At 40.5% G+C, this 15,037-nt stretch overlaps 1 protein-coding gene and 1 long non-coding RNA gene across 10 annotated transcripts in view, besides 1 other annotated feature; one reads left to right on the plus strand and one right to left on the minus strand.

The window, feature by feature from the left end:
• EDRF1 (erythroid differentiation regulatory factor 1) overlaps positions 1 to 15,037 on the plus strand; it is a 44,431-nt gene that overhangs the window by 24,675 nt on the left and 4,719 nt on the right. For 6 of the 9 annotated variants that reach the window (NR_110859.2, NR_110858.2, NR_110857.2 and 3 more), the window contains 6 exons: positions 1,324 to 1,547; positions 3,153 to 3,311; positions 3,480 to 3,629; positions 5,029 to 5,182; positions 8,416 to 8,531; positions 9,311 to 9,462. Coding sequence is in view for 6 of the 9 variants with exons in the window: in NM_001202438.2 (NP_001189367.1) it covers positions 1,324 to 1,547; positions 3,153 to 3,311; positions 3,480 to 3,629; positions 5,029 to 5,182; positions 8,416 to 8,531; positions 9,311 to 9,462 (955 nt within the window). In the remaining 3 variants the exon portion in view is untranslated. Of the gene's footprint in view, positions 1 to 1,323; positions 1,548 to 3,152; positions 3,312 to 3,474; positions 3,630 to 5,028; positions 5,183 to 8,415; positions 8,532 to 9,310; positions 9,463 to 15,037 lie in introns of those variants that run through there. The other 3 variants (XM_047425036.1, XM_047425037.1, XM_047425035.1) reach the window with 2 other exon arrangements.
• EDRF1-AS1 (EDRF1 antisense RNA 1) lies at positions 344 to 7,677 on the minus strand. Its single transcript, NR_120633.1, has 5 exons — positions 7,602 to 7,677; positions 6,057 to 6,098; positions 4,992 to 5,145; positions 1,156 to 1,315; positions 344 to 468 (listed from the first exon to the last, which is right to left on the minus strand). It is a non-coding gene; the product is annotated as an EDRF1 antisense RNA 1 (long non-coding RNA).
• Positions 11,797 to 12,091: a silencer, noted in NCBI's record as "tiled region #6903; HepG2 Repressive non-DNase unmatched - State 15:Elon". NCBI's record gives its function as "represses a minimal TATA promoter and a strong SV40 promoter by Sharpr-MPRA in HepG2 cells {active_cell/tissue: HepG2}" and the evidence as "EXISTENCE:reporter gene assay evidence [ECO:0000049][PMID:27701403]".

The raw sequence follows: 15,037 nt of genomic DNA on the forward strand, positions 1-15,037 counted from the left end.
GGGTTGCCCAGGCTGGTCTCGGACTCCTGGCCTCAGGCAGTCCTCACGCTTTGGCTTCCCAAAGTTCTGGGATTACAGGCATGAGCCACTGCACCCAGCCTGTGTGCCTGTTGATCTGTGAATAATGCTTGGCACTTAGGGATACAAATGTTGCCCTCAAAGAGTTCATTGCTAGTGGGAGAACCTGTGCATTTACGGTGCATCTGGAGGGGGCAGTCAGTGAGGGAGCCTGGAAAGTGGTAGTCAGGAAGCTAGGGAAATTGGATACAACACAGGTTGTAATCTCTTCAGACTCCATGGGGACCACGCTTTTGGATCTTCACAAAATGGCACTTTGCTCAGATGTTTTTCTTTGCTTATTTTAATATCATTTGGTTAATAGTGAAGAGGGTTATACTTAAGTGTTGTACAGTAGACCCCACTTATCCTTGGAGGATGCGTTCCAAGATCCCCAGTGGATGCCTGAAACTGGAGAGTTTTTCAGTGCTTTTTCCTATACATACATACCTGCGATGAAGTTTAATTTACAAATTAGGCACAGTAAGAGATTAACAGCATTTACAACAGTATGGCAGCATCGTTACTCTTGTGCTTTGGGACATTAAGTCAAAATAAGGGTTACTTGTACAAAAGCACAGCAATATTGTAACAGTCATCTGATAACCCAGACAGCTACTAAGTGACTAATGGGTGGGCCGTGCATACAGCATGAATGTGCTGGACAAAGGGATGGTTCCCATCCTGGGTGAGGCAGAGCAGGATGGTGAGAGACTTCATCAAGCTATGTTAGTGAGCTGGGGCTGCTGTAATGAAATATCATAGACTAGGTGACATAATGAGAAATTTATTGTGTCATAGATCTGGAGACTGGAAGTTCAAGATCAAGGTGGCAGCAGCATTGGATTCCTCTCATGTTTCTACCTTGGCTTGCAGATAACCGCCTTGTCACCGTGTCCACACAGGGCCTTCTCTCTGTGCATAGCCCTGGAGTCCCTCCCTCTTTAAAAGGACACCAGTCATACTGGATTAGGATCCCACCCTTACAATCTCATTTAATCTTAATTACGTCTTTAAAGGACCTGTCCTAAATACAGTCACATTCTAAGGAACTAGGGGTTAGGGCTTCAACATATGAACTCATATGGACACGTTTACCTTCATGTAACAGGCATGGTGAGAGCAATGAGCCGTGGTTGACTGCAGGTGACTGGCTCGCCACCACACTCCTGTCACTGCCATCCTCCTCTTATCTCATCAAGAGACAGTGCTAAGGTTTACACTGATGTCTGCTTACACAGTTGTTTTCTTTCTTTCTCTGTAAAGTGAGCAAATCTGTGTCTGCTGCCGAGCAACAGTTGTGGAAAAAAAGCTTTTCTTGTTTTGAAAAGGGAATTCACAACTTTGAATCAATTGAGGATGCCACCAATGCCGCCCTTTTATTATGTAACACGGGAAGGCTCATGCGGATTTGTGCGCAGGCCCACTGTGGTGCAGGGGATGAACTGAAACGTGAATTTTCACCAGAAGAAGGCTTGTATTATAATAAGGTAACACATTCGCGTACATGTTGGGCCTCACCCATTCACACCTGTCATTTATTTACATTTTGCCAGTTTCACTAAAATACTATAAAACTAAAAATAATTAAACTCTGCTAATGATACAACACCAGACAGATCGTGAAAACACTTGCAACCTGGCCTAAGACTAGTAAGAATTGAGTATTGAAGATGACATGTGGAATTGGAAGGGAAAAGATGATTCTGCAAATGGTTTGTACAACGAGCATGAATGTCAAATGGATTAAAGATTGACATGGAGAAAGTGAAACTGTAAAAGTATTAGAAGAAAATATAGGTAGAGGCTTATATGATAGGTTACAGAAAGACTTTCCCAGCATGGCACAGTAAGCAGAAATCCTGGGTAAAAGTTGAATAAACTCAAATGTGTAAAATTAAAGTTCTAAAATGCACAAATGTATAAAAAATAAAGATCTAAAAATGCTCAACAGAAACTGAAATTGAAAGCAAATCATAGAGATGAGAGGTTAATATACTCTTGCTGTATAAAATAAGAATCATTGAAAATAAACCACCCAAAGAGAAAAAAGAGCAAATAACCTTGAACAGAAAATGTACACATTTTTTAAAAAAAGTAAATGGCTAATATATATAAAAGAAAATTTTCAAAGTTTAGTTTTATTTATTTACTTTTTTGAGGCAGAGTTTCACTCTGTTGCTCAGGCTGAAGTGCAGTGGCACAGTCTTGGCTCACTGCAACCTCTGCCTCCTGGATTCAAGTGATTCTCATGCCTCAGCCTCCTGAGTAGCTGAGACTACAAGCATGTTGCCAACACGCCTGTCTCATTTTGGCATTATAATATTTTTAGTGGAGATGAGGTTTCGCCATGTTGGCCAGGCTGGTCTCAAACTCCTGGCCTCAAAATTGAGTTTTATTTATTAGATTGCCAAATTTTATGACAAATGGTCACACCCACTGTTGGAGAGGGTACAAAGATATGAGCACTCATATAATGGAGGAATTGAAGCCATTTAAATGACATTAGTGAAGAATGTTGGTGGCATAAATTTTTAAATGAGTGACCTTTTTTGATTTTCTTTTTTAAATTTATATATACACAGAAAAGAGTGAATAAATAAACACCAGAAATGTAGAAATTATTGCTGGGTGATTAAGTGTGGTTTTGTTTTTGGTTTCAATATAATGGCCATGTATTTGAGGATTGGGGTAACAAGGTAGGAGGAGATACTTCTTTTTACGTAAAATTTGGCAAGTTTTTAATCTAATTTACTAGTTATATAAACTGTAATTTTCATTTAGAAAGAAAAAAAAAAACAAAGGAAACAAGTGCATCATCATGCTCAGCCTGAGTCAGAAAGCAGCAGCACGGATTGGCTTCTTGTAGCCTTGAGATGGGAACACAGAGTGGTCTTCAGTCTACTCGGAATAACTTTCTTCATTGAAATATTTTCATTGACTTACTTTTTTCATTTCCTCATAATATTGTCTCTTTATAAATTATCCCAAAATTAAATTAACATCTGGGTAGTTGTGAAGTGTGTTTTATTTTAATGCAGTATTGGTATATGTTTAAGCTGAGTCAGAAATGTACACTGTTTTCTCCTTTGCAGGCTATTGATTACTATTTGAAAGCGCTAAGGTCATTGGGAACACGAGACATACACCCAGCTGTTTGGGATTCAGTGAACTGGGAATTGTCCACTACTTACTTTACTATGGCAACTCTACAGCAAGATTATGCTCCGTTATCTAGAAAAGCTCAGGAGCAGGTGATAATATTTGCTGGAGTATAAAATAAGTTCTCAATCTAATTCCCTTGTTTAACAAATATTTAGCGTCTGTTGTCTTTTCCCTAATAAGCAGTATTTAAACGTTTTAAAAACTCCTACAGTCAGATTAGAAGCTTATTTTTTTCTTCCCCCTCAAAACAAGAACAGATTGAGAAAGAAGTCAGTGAGGCCATGATGAAGTCCCTAAAATACTGCGATGTGGATTCAGTGTCTGCTCGACAGCCCCTTTGTCAGTATCGAGCTGCAACCATCCATCACAGGCTGGCCTCCATGTACCACAGCTGTCTGAGGAATCAGGTATTGTCAGTCCAAGTTAAGTACAGTGCCACATCAGTTTAAAAGTGTTCTGGGTGCTTTTTGTTTTTTTAACATGGTCATATATGTCTTCCTTGACGTCCACTCAGGTGAACTGCTGTCCTAAATTTTCTGCTGCGTCTGTGCCTTTTTTTGTGCTGTGCCACTTAAACAATATGTCCGCATTGTGCTCCATGTTGAGCATGGGAAAACGAATCCGCTGTTGGTGTTCTGTGGCTTACTGCCTGTCACTTAACATCGTGTTTTTGAGATACATCTGTGTTGGCACACGTAGCTGTTCATTTTCTCAGCTCAGTAGTCATTAAATGACTATATCTTAGTTTATCTAGTCTATGATTAGTGAATTTTGGGGTTATTCCAGATTCCAGTTTGATGCTATTAGAAATAATCTAGTGCCAGCAGGATTGTACATGAATCCTGGTGCCCAAATGCCTGTATTTCTGAGAATAATCTGAGGCCGAGGATAAAGGCACTTCCTTCCGAGAGATTGCTTGGCTTTTGCTGCGAGTCTTGGGCCTGTAGTTTCTCAGTGATGTTTTTTTGTTTGTTTTGTTGATTTTCCCCCCCCGTAAGGTAAGACTACTTACCTTACAGTCCCTTTGGCATGAGTTTACTTCTGGGTTGCCTTTATTCTGAAAAGTATCTTTTGAGATACAGCTTAAACTGGAGAAGTTCTTTTTCTTTTTTTTTGAGACAGGGTCTCACTCTGTTGCCCAGACTGGAGTGCAGTAGCACGATCTCAGCTTACTGCAACCTCCGCCTCCCAGGCCTCCCCACTCTTTTGCATATAGATATCTAGTTGTCCCAGCACCATTTGCTGAAAAGACTACTCCTCTGCTGCATTGTCTTGGCACCCTTAAGCTTGCTTTTGCCCTCAGGATATTAGGCCATCTGGGCAAACCTGAATTTTGGTTGAGGACTTCCTAAGTCGAAGTGGAAAGAAATCTTCTCCAGTTCATGCCTGTAATCCCAGCACTTTGGGAGCCGAGGTGGTTGGATCATTTGAGGTCGGGAGTTAGAGAGCAGCCTAGCCAACATGACAAAACCCCAGAAAAAAATTAAAAAATTAGCCAAGCAGTAGTGGCGGGTGCCTGTAATCCCAGCAACTTGGGAGGCTGAGGCAGGGGAATTGCTTGAGTTCAGGAGGCGGAGGTTGCAGTGAGCCAGGATTGCACCACTGCATCTCCAGCCTGGGCGACAGAGCGAGACCCTGTCTCAAAAAAAAAAAAAGAAAGGAAATGGATTAAAGACCTAAATATAAAAGCTAAAACTAATAAGACCTAGTAAGACCCACAGTGGGGGAAAAATAACTAAGAAGCACTTAGTGAAGCCTGAAGTAGTTACCGTGAAGGATTTGTTGCTTGTTTTGGTTTGGTTCTAGGTTGGTGATGAACACCTTAGGAAACAACACCGGGTGCTGGCAGATCTTCATTACAGCAAGGCCGCAAAGCTGTTTCAGCTGCTGAAAGATGCTCCCTGCGAACTGCTTAGAGTACAGCTAGAGAGAGTAGCATTTGCTGAATTTCAGATGACCAGTAAGTCTTAATTTTCATTTCTCAGATATGTATGCATTGGCTTAGTGCTGGATTGTCTTAGAGTAAGGCAGGCCTGTGAATCTAAATAATACTATTTTCTTTTTAATTTGCCCCATAGTTAATGACTTCGGGTAGAGAGGGTGAGAAATCACTACATGTTTTGAAGTGCTTTTTAAAACTTAGAGGAATGTATTAGATTATGTTCAGTGACTAGAAATACTGAGATATGGCCCATGACCCCTAGTTTGGAAAAAAAATTGACAAATAAATTTAGACAGTTAAAGAATTCAATCGGCCAGGCACAGTGGCTCACGCCTGTAATCCCAGCAATTTGGGAGGCTGAGGCAGGCAGATCACCTGAGGTCAGGAGTTCTAGAACAACCTGGCCAACATAGTGAAACCCCGTCTCTACTAAAAATACAAAAATTGGCCATGTGTGGTGGTGCAGGCCTGTAGTCCCAGCTACTGAGGAGGTTGAGGTGGGAGAATCACTTGAACCCAGGAGGCGAAGGTTGCAGTGAGCCAAGATCGTGCCACTGCACACCAGCCTGGGTGATAGAGCAAGACTGTGTCTCAAAAAACAAAAACAAACAAAAAAAAAGATTTAAATCGGCATGAAAAATTTGGGAATGGAGAGGCAACAGTAAAGGAGTAGTGGACCTTATTGAACCCCTTAAACATAGAACTGACCCTTGGATTGTGGTTCCAGAACAGACACTACTGTAGAGCCTGACCGAGGTCAAGATAAGTCGGGAGATAGAGAAGGGTGAAAGTGAGAATGCTTTCTTATGTTATTTTCCATGGCATGGAGTAAGCAGATACTTCAACCACTTAATGATTTTTCCTAAGTTCTCCCCCTCTCTCTCTTGCTCACCTATTCTCCTCTCCCGCAGAGGAGTCTTTTGAGAAATATCTCCTGTGTGGTAAAGAAACAAGAAACAATTATTTGAAGTGCAGCAGTTCATTTAGTTTTTCAGTCTGCTGTAAAATAAGGTTAATACTTTAAATCTGTATGACTTAGTTTACATAATACAGTAGCCCCTGAAGGATGCATAAGAAACTGGTAACATTGTTCCCTTTGGGGAGGAAACCTGGAAGGCCAAGAGGAGGGGTTTTGCTGCATACCCATTTGGACCTTGTAAATTTGGGAATGTATTACCTATCTAAAACAGTTTCTAAAAATGGTTTTTACTAAAACTAATTTTTTGCTGGCATATAACGCATGGCTAGATGTGTGGGACAGTCACCAGAATTAACAGTAGCTCTTTATGTGAGGAAGGTTTGGGGAGAGTGATCTTCAGTTTTCACTTGCACCTTTGAATATTCTGCCATGTTTGAATTCCTTAGAATGATCAAGCATCTTTTTTGTTGTTGGGGTTTTGTTTTTTGTTTTGTTTTGTTTTGTTTGAGACAGAGTTTTACCCTGTCACATGGGCTGGAGTGCAGTGGCATGGTCATGGCTCACTGCAACCTTGACCATCTGGGCTCTAGTGATCCTCAGCCTCCCCGAGTAGCTGAGATCACAAGTGCTAATTTTGGAAAAATTGTTTGTAGAGACAGGGTCTCACTATGTTATAAGCCCAGGCTGGACTCAAACTCTTGAGCTCAAGCGATACTCCTGCCTCGGCCTCCCAAAGTGCTGGAAGATACTGGAACAAATTTGCTAAGATGATAAGTGTGTTTAATTCTCTCCTTTAAATGTTTTACTACTGTGAGTACTTTAGAAAATAATGTAAATATTTTAGAGGGTTTTGTTAGCCAGGTTTGTGGGTTTTGTAAGCCAAGTTAATAAATGCTCTAGTTTGTGACACCTTTTATTCTATCTTATTTTACCCAGTGTTTTTTTTTTTGTTTTTTTTTTCTAGTACATATGATTCAGACCTCCCTTCCTAATGTCTATATTGTCTGGTCGTTGTCCCAACAACACTTTCATACATAAGCAATAGCTTGTCTTCCAGATGCCAAATCTATGCTGAAATCACATTGATCCATTGATTTTAAAGAGAATAGGTTGTTTAGAAAGTGTGGGATTATACTTCTAAAGGAAGAAGGCAACAGTTATTCTCTCCCCACCCGCAGAGTCGGGGAGTCCCCAAGACCATTGTCACTTCTCACACTAACTACGAGTCTGTCGGCGGTCTCCAAGACCACCCTCAGGTTTGAGAATTTGCTAAAGGACTCACAGAACTCACTGAAAGCTGTTCTGCTTACAGCCACAATTTCTTAACAATGAAAGGATGTACATTAAAATCAGCCAAGGGAAGAGGCTCGGGAGGCAGAGTCCTGGAGAGTTCTAAGCGCGGAGCTCCCAGTTCCTCTGCTGCTGGAGTTACAGATAGTGCTAACTCACCCCGGCAGTGATGCATGACAGTGCTCACCAAGTGTATCAATCAATACATGTACAACTGCGGAAGCTCACCCAAGCCTTGGTGTCCAGAGTTTTCATTGGAACTTGGTCAGATAGACATGGTTGACTGCCACGTGGCTGATCTTTGTCTCCAGTGCCTCCAGAGGTCAAGCTGTTACCCTGGGGCCCAAAGTCCCCACAGTAAATCCCATTGTTAGGCTATCCATTGTGACCCAAGGACCCCCAGGTAAACAAAGGCGTTCTTACCGGGCAGGACATTTCAAGGACTTAGTGGTTACCTTCTGGGAGCCAAGGACAAAGACTAAACCTCTGTACAAGATTTAATCCTCTACTGCACACCGCACACAATTGAGTTCTAGGAGAACAGGAGCAAAGGTGTCCTGTAGTATCTGATAGCTCTAGAAAAATTGTAGTTAGAAGGCTCTAGAATAAAACAAAACCTTGTTCATCTGGTCTGACTTCCTGCCTTTGAACAGAGATGTAATAAACTATTTTACAGATAGGACAACTGATACTAAGTGCTTATGTGACTTGACCACACAACTGGTAAAATGTGAGGTGGGCCTCGAGCCCCAGACTCTTTTCTGCTGGTCCCTTTTCCTAAGGCTCCTGTTCTGAAAAAGTGGCCTGTCTTGACAAAACCAAATGGTGGGGCAGGGAAACAATGATTATTTATTGCTTTGTCCAGACTTAGTATTTTTGTCAAGGGAATATTATTAAATAGAAGTTGGATTTAGAAGATTTAAGATTCTCATTAGCTTCCTTTATAGCATTTTGAAAGTCTGAATTTTCATTAATACATTAACATTAGATGGGTTTCTAGATTTATATTAAAGAAATGAACGTTTTGTATTTAAAACTTTAGGTCAGAATAGCAATGTTGGAAAGTTGAAAACACTATCTGGGGCTCTTGATATAATGGTGAGAACTGAGCACGCATTCCAGCTTATCCAGAAGGAGCTTATAGAAGAATTTGGCCAGGTACATGGAGAAAATGACTGTCTTTGGTTTTTGTGTGTCTTAAGCTACATGGTGAATGTATATAGTGGACGTGTGTGTGTATGTGTGTGGGTATATATACACACATGTACATATGTATGCTATGCACTAAAACATTTTAACAGTGATTTGTTATATTTGCCTGGTATTCATCTCCTTTCTTTAATTTGCAAGTATTTTAAAATATTTTTAAGAATATATCTCAACAAGACCATAGTTAACAAATTATAAAGTCTCTTAAGTTTTTTTGTTGCTGTTGGTGGGAATTTGTTTTGTTTTATGTTTTAAAAGAAAAGGCCTGTGCCCTCTTTTCTAATTTCCACTAGAATGCCTGGGAGCAGTTGAATGGTGAATGGGCCTAAGCAGGCTCCTCAGGAAGGAATTTCTCGTTTTCTGGGCATTCCGGCATTCATTTTACCTTCTGCTGTTGCTAAAAGCTTCCTGAAGCCCCCATGTTGCGCCCACCTATTGCTCTTCTAGCCCTGCTTGGTCAAATCCTGTGTGGTACCGTACATTTCTGCGTTGTGTCTAATGTTGGAAAGTCAGGATTAATTTCTTCTACAAAAGTGCCTATTGGGGCTGAGACATTTTAATTATGTGTTTTAGTCTATCAAAATGATCATAGGTGTGCTTTTTGTTTGTTTGTCTTGTTTAGGGTTAAAAATGTATTGGATGAATGAAACTGCAGTTCCATCACTTGGTACGATATGAAACTACAGTTGTTGGATAGCTCGAGTAAAATAACTTTTTGTTGTTTTTAGCCTAAGAGTGGTGACGCCGCTGCAGCTGCTGATGCTTCTCCTAGTCTCAATCGAGAAGAAGTGATGAAACTCCTCAGTATATTTGAGTCTCGGTTGTCATTTCTTCTCCTTCAGTCCATTAAACTGCTATCTTCAACTAAAAAGAAAACAAGGTAAATTAAGTGGTTATTTGTAGGAATTTCTTTCCTAGCACCCTACCTATAAAAATTTTCTCTACTAACATCATAAAGAAAAACTAGGGGCCAGGCACATTGGCTCACACCTGCAATCCCAGCACTTTGGGAGGCCAAGGCAGGCAGATCACTTGAGTTCAGGAGTTCGAGACCAGCCCGGCCAACATGGTGAAACCCCATCTCTACCAAAAATACAAAAACTAACCGGTATGGTGGCGGGCGCCTGTTAATCCTAGCTACAGGGGAGGCTGAGGCACGAGACTTGCTTGAACCCAGGAGGTGGAGGTTGCAGCGAGCTGAAATCACACCACTGCACTGCAGCCTAGGCAACAGAGTGAGACACCATCTCAAAAAAAAAAAAAAAGGAAAGAAAGAAAAAAATAGGTTGTATTCTGTCTTGTCTTCTATGTGGATAGTAGAATTTTAAGTGGTGTTCCTTCTTGACTTGTTAAACTAGGTAAGAACCCTCTCCACAAAGCCTTCTATGTATTGAAATTACAGAAAGAAAGAAATCTTGCTGCCTAAGGGCAAATACTCTGTTGTTAACGTTTTCCTTGAGGGAGATGAATAACCCTGGAATGAAGATCTGCGTTTCTAGTGATGCTTCTGAATGTTGTCATTAATGGAGGGTCTCGACTGGAGTTTGATGCTCAGGGCCAAGTGCACTGCAGAATAGAGGACAGAACACAGAAGCAGGAGAGAAGCAGGAGAGAAGAGCGCACACCTCCGCAGAAATGTTCTAATGGCCCTGAGTCATCTTGTTGCGCTTACATTCTTTTGTCAAAGTTTGTTATTTTGGCATTATTGATTTAATTTGAAATTTCAGTAGTAAGTACTAGATCAGGAAAGTAATATCAATGATATGCCTTCCTTGTTTTTAAATATAAGTGCAATCTGGCCATATTACAAAATTTGGAAAATAGAGAAAAGGAAATGACAACCATTTATCCTAATACATCCATTGTTACCAGTTATCTTATGTATATTTTACCGATGTATAATCTTAGGGTACAGATCATTTTTGTCTGTTTATTTTTTTATGTTACATACAGTAAAATGGACTCTTTGTGGTGTATACTTCTTCAAACCTTGACAAATGCATATAGATGTGTGCCTGCCACCACAGTTATGACAGAAAACAGTTCCGTCACTCCAAGAATTCCCTCCTGCTGTCCCCTTTGCAGTCAACCCTGCCCCTGCCCCCAATTCCTCAGGATCTCAGGGAGAAAGTTTTCAGTCTTTTACCATTAAGCCTCATATCAGCTGTGGGGCTTTGTAGAGGCCTTTATCAAGTTGAGGATGTTTTCTTCTATTCTGAATTTGCTAAGAGTGTTTCTATCATGAATGGATATTGAATTTGTGTCCAGTGCTTTTATTACATTTATTGAGATGACTACATGGTTTCCCTTGTTTAGCCTTGTTTAGTGGATTACGTTGATTCTTCAGATGTTAAACCAGCTTTGCATTCCTGGGATAAATCCCAGTTTGTTGTGATGAAGGATTCTTTTTATGTATTACTGGATCCAGTTTGCTGATATTTTGTTGATAATTTTTGTGTCTATGCATAGGGGATAGTGGTCTACAGCTCACTTTTCTTATAATGGGTTTGTGTGGTTTGGGTATTAGAACAGTGCTGGCCTCATAAAGTCTGTGGGTTCATGTTCCCTCTTCTGTTTTCTGAAAGAGATTGTATAGAATTGGTACTATGTCTTCATTAAACATGTAGTAGAATTTACCAGTAAAACCATCTTAACCTGGAGTTTACTTTGTTGGAAGTTTTTAAACGGTGAGTTCAATTTCTTTTCATGGATACAGTATTACTCAGGCTGTCTTTTTCTTGAATAAACGAGGGTCCATCATCTAAATTGTCAAATGTATAGATTCACAGTATCCCTTATTATCCTTTTAATGTCTAAGGGGGTTTGTGATGATAGCCCTTCTTTTAGTCCTGATATTGGTAATCCTTCTGTTTTTCTTGGTCATTCTAGCTAGAAGTTTTCGATTTTTTTTTTCCAATCTTTTCAAAGAACCAACTTTTGGCTTGATTGACTGTTTCTTCCCCTCATTGTTTCTCTCTTTTAAATGTCATCAATTTCTGCCGTTCATTTCCTTCCTTCTACTTGTTTTGGACTTAATTTGCTCTTTTTGTAGTTTCTTAAGGTGGAAGCCTAGATTACTAATTTGAGACATTTTTCCTTTTTAATATAAGATTTGCTGCCAAAAATTTTCTTCTAAAGCACTGCTTTTGCTACATCTCATATATTTTTGTATATTTTCGTTTTCATTTGTTTCAAAATAATATTTGATATCCTGAGACTTCTCCTTTGACCCATTTGTTATTTGAAGTGTGCTGTTTAGTTTCTGAATATTGGGACTTGTTAGCTATCTTTTGATATTGCTTGCTAGTTGAATTCTATTATGTGCTGAGACCATAACTGTGTTTGTTCTCTTCTTTCACGTTTGTGTAGATTTGTTTTATGGCCTAGAATATGGTTTATCTTGGCACATGTTCCATGTGTACTTGAAAAATCTGCGTGTCCTGCTGTTTGGGGTAAAGCATTGTGTAAATGTCAGTTAGGTTAAGCGTGTTCATAGTATTGTTCAGGTCTTCTGTATTCTCACTGAATTTCTGTCTATTGCTATCAATTTACTGAGCGAGGAGTGTTGAAGTCTCCAGCTACGCTTATGGATTTATCTGTTTCTCCTCTCAGCACTGTCAGTTTTGTTTCATGTGTTTTTGAAGCTCTGTTAGGTACACACACGTAGGATTGTGATATCTGGGAGAACTGACCTCCTTATTACTACAGATGTCCGTCCCTCTTTGATAATATAGCTACTCAACGTTCTTTTGGTTAATGTCTTTTTTTGTATGTCTTTTATATTAAAATTGGGTTTCCTATAGGTGGCAATAGTTGGGTCTTGCTTTTTATTTTTTATTTACTTATATTTATGTTTAGTTTTTTTGAGACAAGGTCTCACTCTGTCACTCAGGCTGGAGTGCAGTGGCATGATCATAGCTCACTGCAGCCCCAACTTCCTGGGCTCAAGCAATCCCCCACCTCAGCCTCTCAGAGTAGCTGGGACCACGGGTGTGCCCCACGACACCCAACTAATTTTTTAATTTTTTGTAGAGATGGGGTCTTGCCATGTTGCCCAGGCTGGTCTCAAAACTCCTGGGTCAAGCAGTCCACCTTCCCCAGACTCCCAAAGTGCTGGGATTACAAGTATGAGCCACTGCACCTGGCCCAAGGGTCTTGCTTTTTAAATCCAGTCTTACAATTGGTGTCTCTAGACCATTCACATTTAATATGATTCTTTCTCTGCCTTCTGTTAATTATTTTCTGTGATTCCATTTTATTTCACTATTGATTTATTATGTGCCACTTTTTAATTATTTTGGCAGTTGACCTAGGATTTTGCAGTATACATCGTTAATCTTTCATGAGAGGCCACCTTCAAGTAATATGATACTGCTTTACATGTACTGTAAAGACCTTCTAACAGTAGACTCCCAATTCCTTCCTCCCGTCTTTTGTACTGTTATTATACGTTTTACTTGTACATATGTTATAAACAGAATACACTGCTACTAGTTTTTACCTTATACAGTTATCTTTAAGAGCAATTAAAGGGAACAGGAAATTTTATTTACCTTCATTTATTCCATTTCAGTACTCTTACTTTTTGTGTAGGTTTCTGTCTAGCATCATATTCCTTCTGCCTGAAAAACTTTTAGCATTTAGCATTTGTAGGTGTGCTAGCAATGAATTCTATCTTTTCAATTGAGAGAGTTTTTATTCTTTTTTCAGTCTTGGAAGATCTTTGAGCAGAGTATAGAATTCTGGGTTAACAGTCCTTTTCATTCAGTACTTTAAAGATGTCACTCCATTGTCTCTGGCCTGTGTGTTTTCTGACCAGAAGCCAGCTGTGTTTCCTACTTTTGTTCATCTGTTAGAAATGCATCTTCCTTGCCTGTAGGCGCCTCACCCCCCAGCAGTTTAACTATGATAGGCTTGAGTGTGTCGTGATGGCTTTTACCTCTGGCTTCAGCATTTTTCTTTCTTCTGTTCCATTCTCTCTCCTCCTCTGTAGCCCGTTATGCCTATGTTAGACTGTTTGATGTTATTCCACAGCTCTTGGATATTCCGTTCTGGTTTTTTTGATGCCATTTTTTCCTTTTTGTGATTTTGTTTGGGTAATTTCTGTTGAACTGTCTTCAAGTTCATGGATTCCTTACTTGGTTTTGTGTCATCTACAGTTGAACTTTTTGAAGGCATTCTTTGTCTCTGTTACAATGTTCCTTATTTCTAGCAATTGCCCTGGGTTCATTCTTACAGTTCCAGCTCTCTGCTGAAATCACCAATCTGACCTTGCGTGGCATCCATCTTGTCCATTAGTGTCTTGAACATACTAATTATAGTCCTTTTAAATTCCCTATGAGATAGTTCCAACATCTGTGTCATAATTAGCTGGTTCTGTTGATTCTTTGTCTCTTGGAAGTATGTTGTTTTTTCCTTGCCTTCCGTATATCTCTTGTTTGTTGAAAACTGGACACCTTATGTATGATAGTAGAGACCAAGAGAAATATTTTTTTTTTGCCTGGAATTTTTTGTACTTTCCCCCTGCTACGGCTTTAGTGTGGGAAGTGGAATTCATTTTTCTAGCCTGGAGTTGAGCTGTGGTTGAGATTTTTTTATTGCGATGGTTACCTTCCATGTACCACAGGCTTCAAGTTTTCCTAGCAGTCCTCGTGTGTAGGGTGGAACAGATCTGCAGAAGGTGATTCTTAGTGTCTTCTCTACCTTCAGCTCTAGGTCTTTCTTTTGTTTTGCACCTTAGAGAGGGTCTGTCTTTATACTCTCACAGTTCTTCCAGCCATATTCCACTGTCACTGGTCCTTCGGTGCCTTTTCGCCTGTTTGGGAGGGAGCAGGGAGTTAGCAAGGACTCCATAGTTGTTTAAGCCTCAGTCCAGGCAGACACTCGTGTCCCTGAGTCTCAGGACTGTGGCCTTCCCACTGCTCCTGCACCCCCACCTAACCCTTCAGAGTGTTTTTTTCTGTTCCCTTCCCCTCTCTTCATTGACTTTAACCAACGCCCTAAGGTTGGCAGGGTTCATTGTCTTCCCCCACCCCCATTGAGTCTTTTGTTTCATAGAGGAGAAGGGTCCAGGTGGGGTTGCTGGTCCCTCCCATAGCAGCTGCTGTTACCCTGTCATAGGTCTACAGCAGGAGGGTCAGTCTGTCAGGATTCTCACTGGTCTTTTATGTGGGCATTTGGTGAGGTCCTTGGAGAAAAGCCAGTAAGAAGATGTGAACCCCCTGACTCCACAGAGGCCCTATACTTTCTCACCAGCCTCACTGGGCCCCCACCAACCCATTCACTATTTTAGCTAAATGCTTACTGGCATCTGGCTGCATCTGCCCCAGGTAAGGAAGGACTGTCCTTTCTCTCCCTGTATCAGCCTGTCTCTCCTTAGATTGCAGGCTAGTTGGCTGCCCCACCTCTCTCATGGATTTAAGAAGAGCCATGACCTTGTAGTTTGCCCTGCTTGA

Source organism: Homo sapiens, chromosome 10 (assembly GCF_000001405.40).
Source record: "Homo sapiens chromosome 10, GRCh38.p14 Primary Assembly".
NCBI classification, from domain to species: domain Eukaryota; kingdom Metazoa; phylum Chordata; class Mammalia; order Primates; family Hominidae; genus Homo; species Homo sapiens.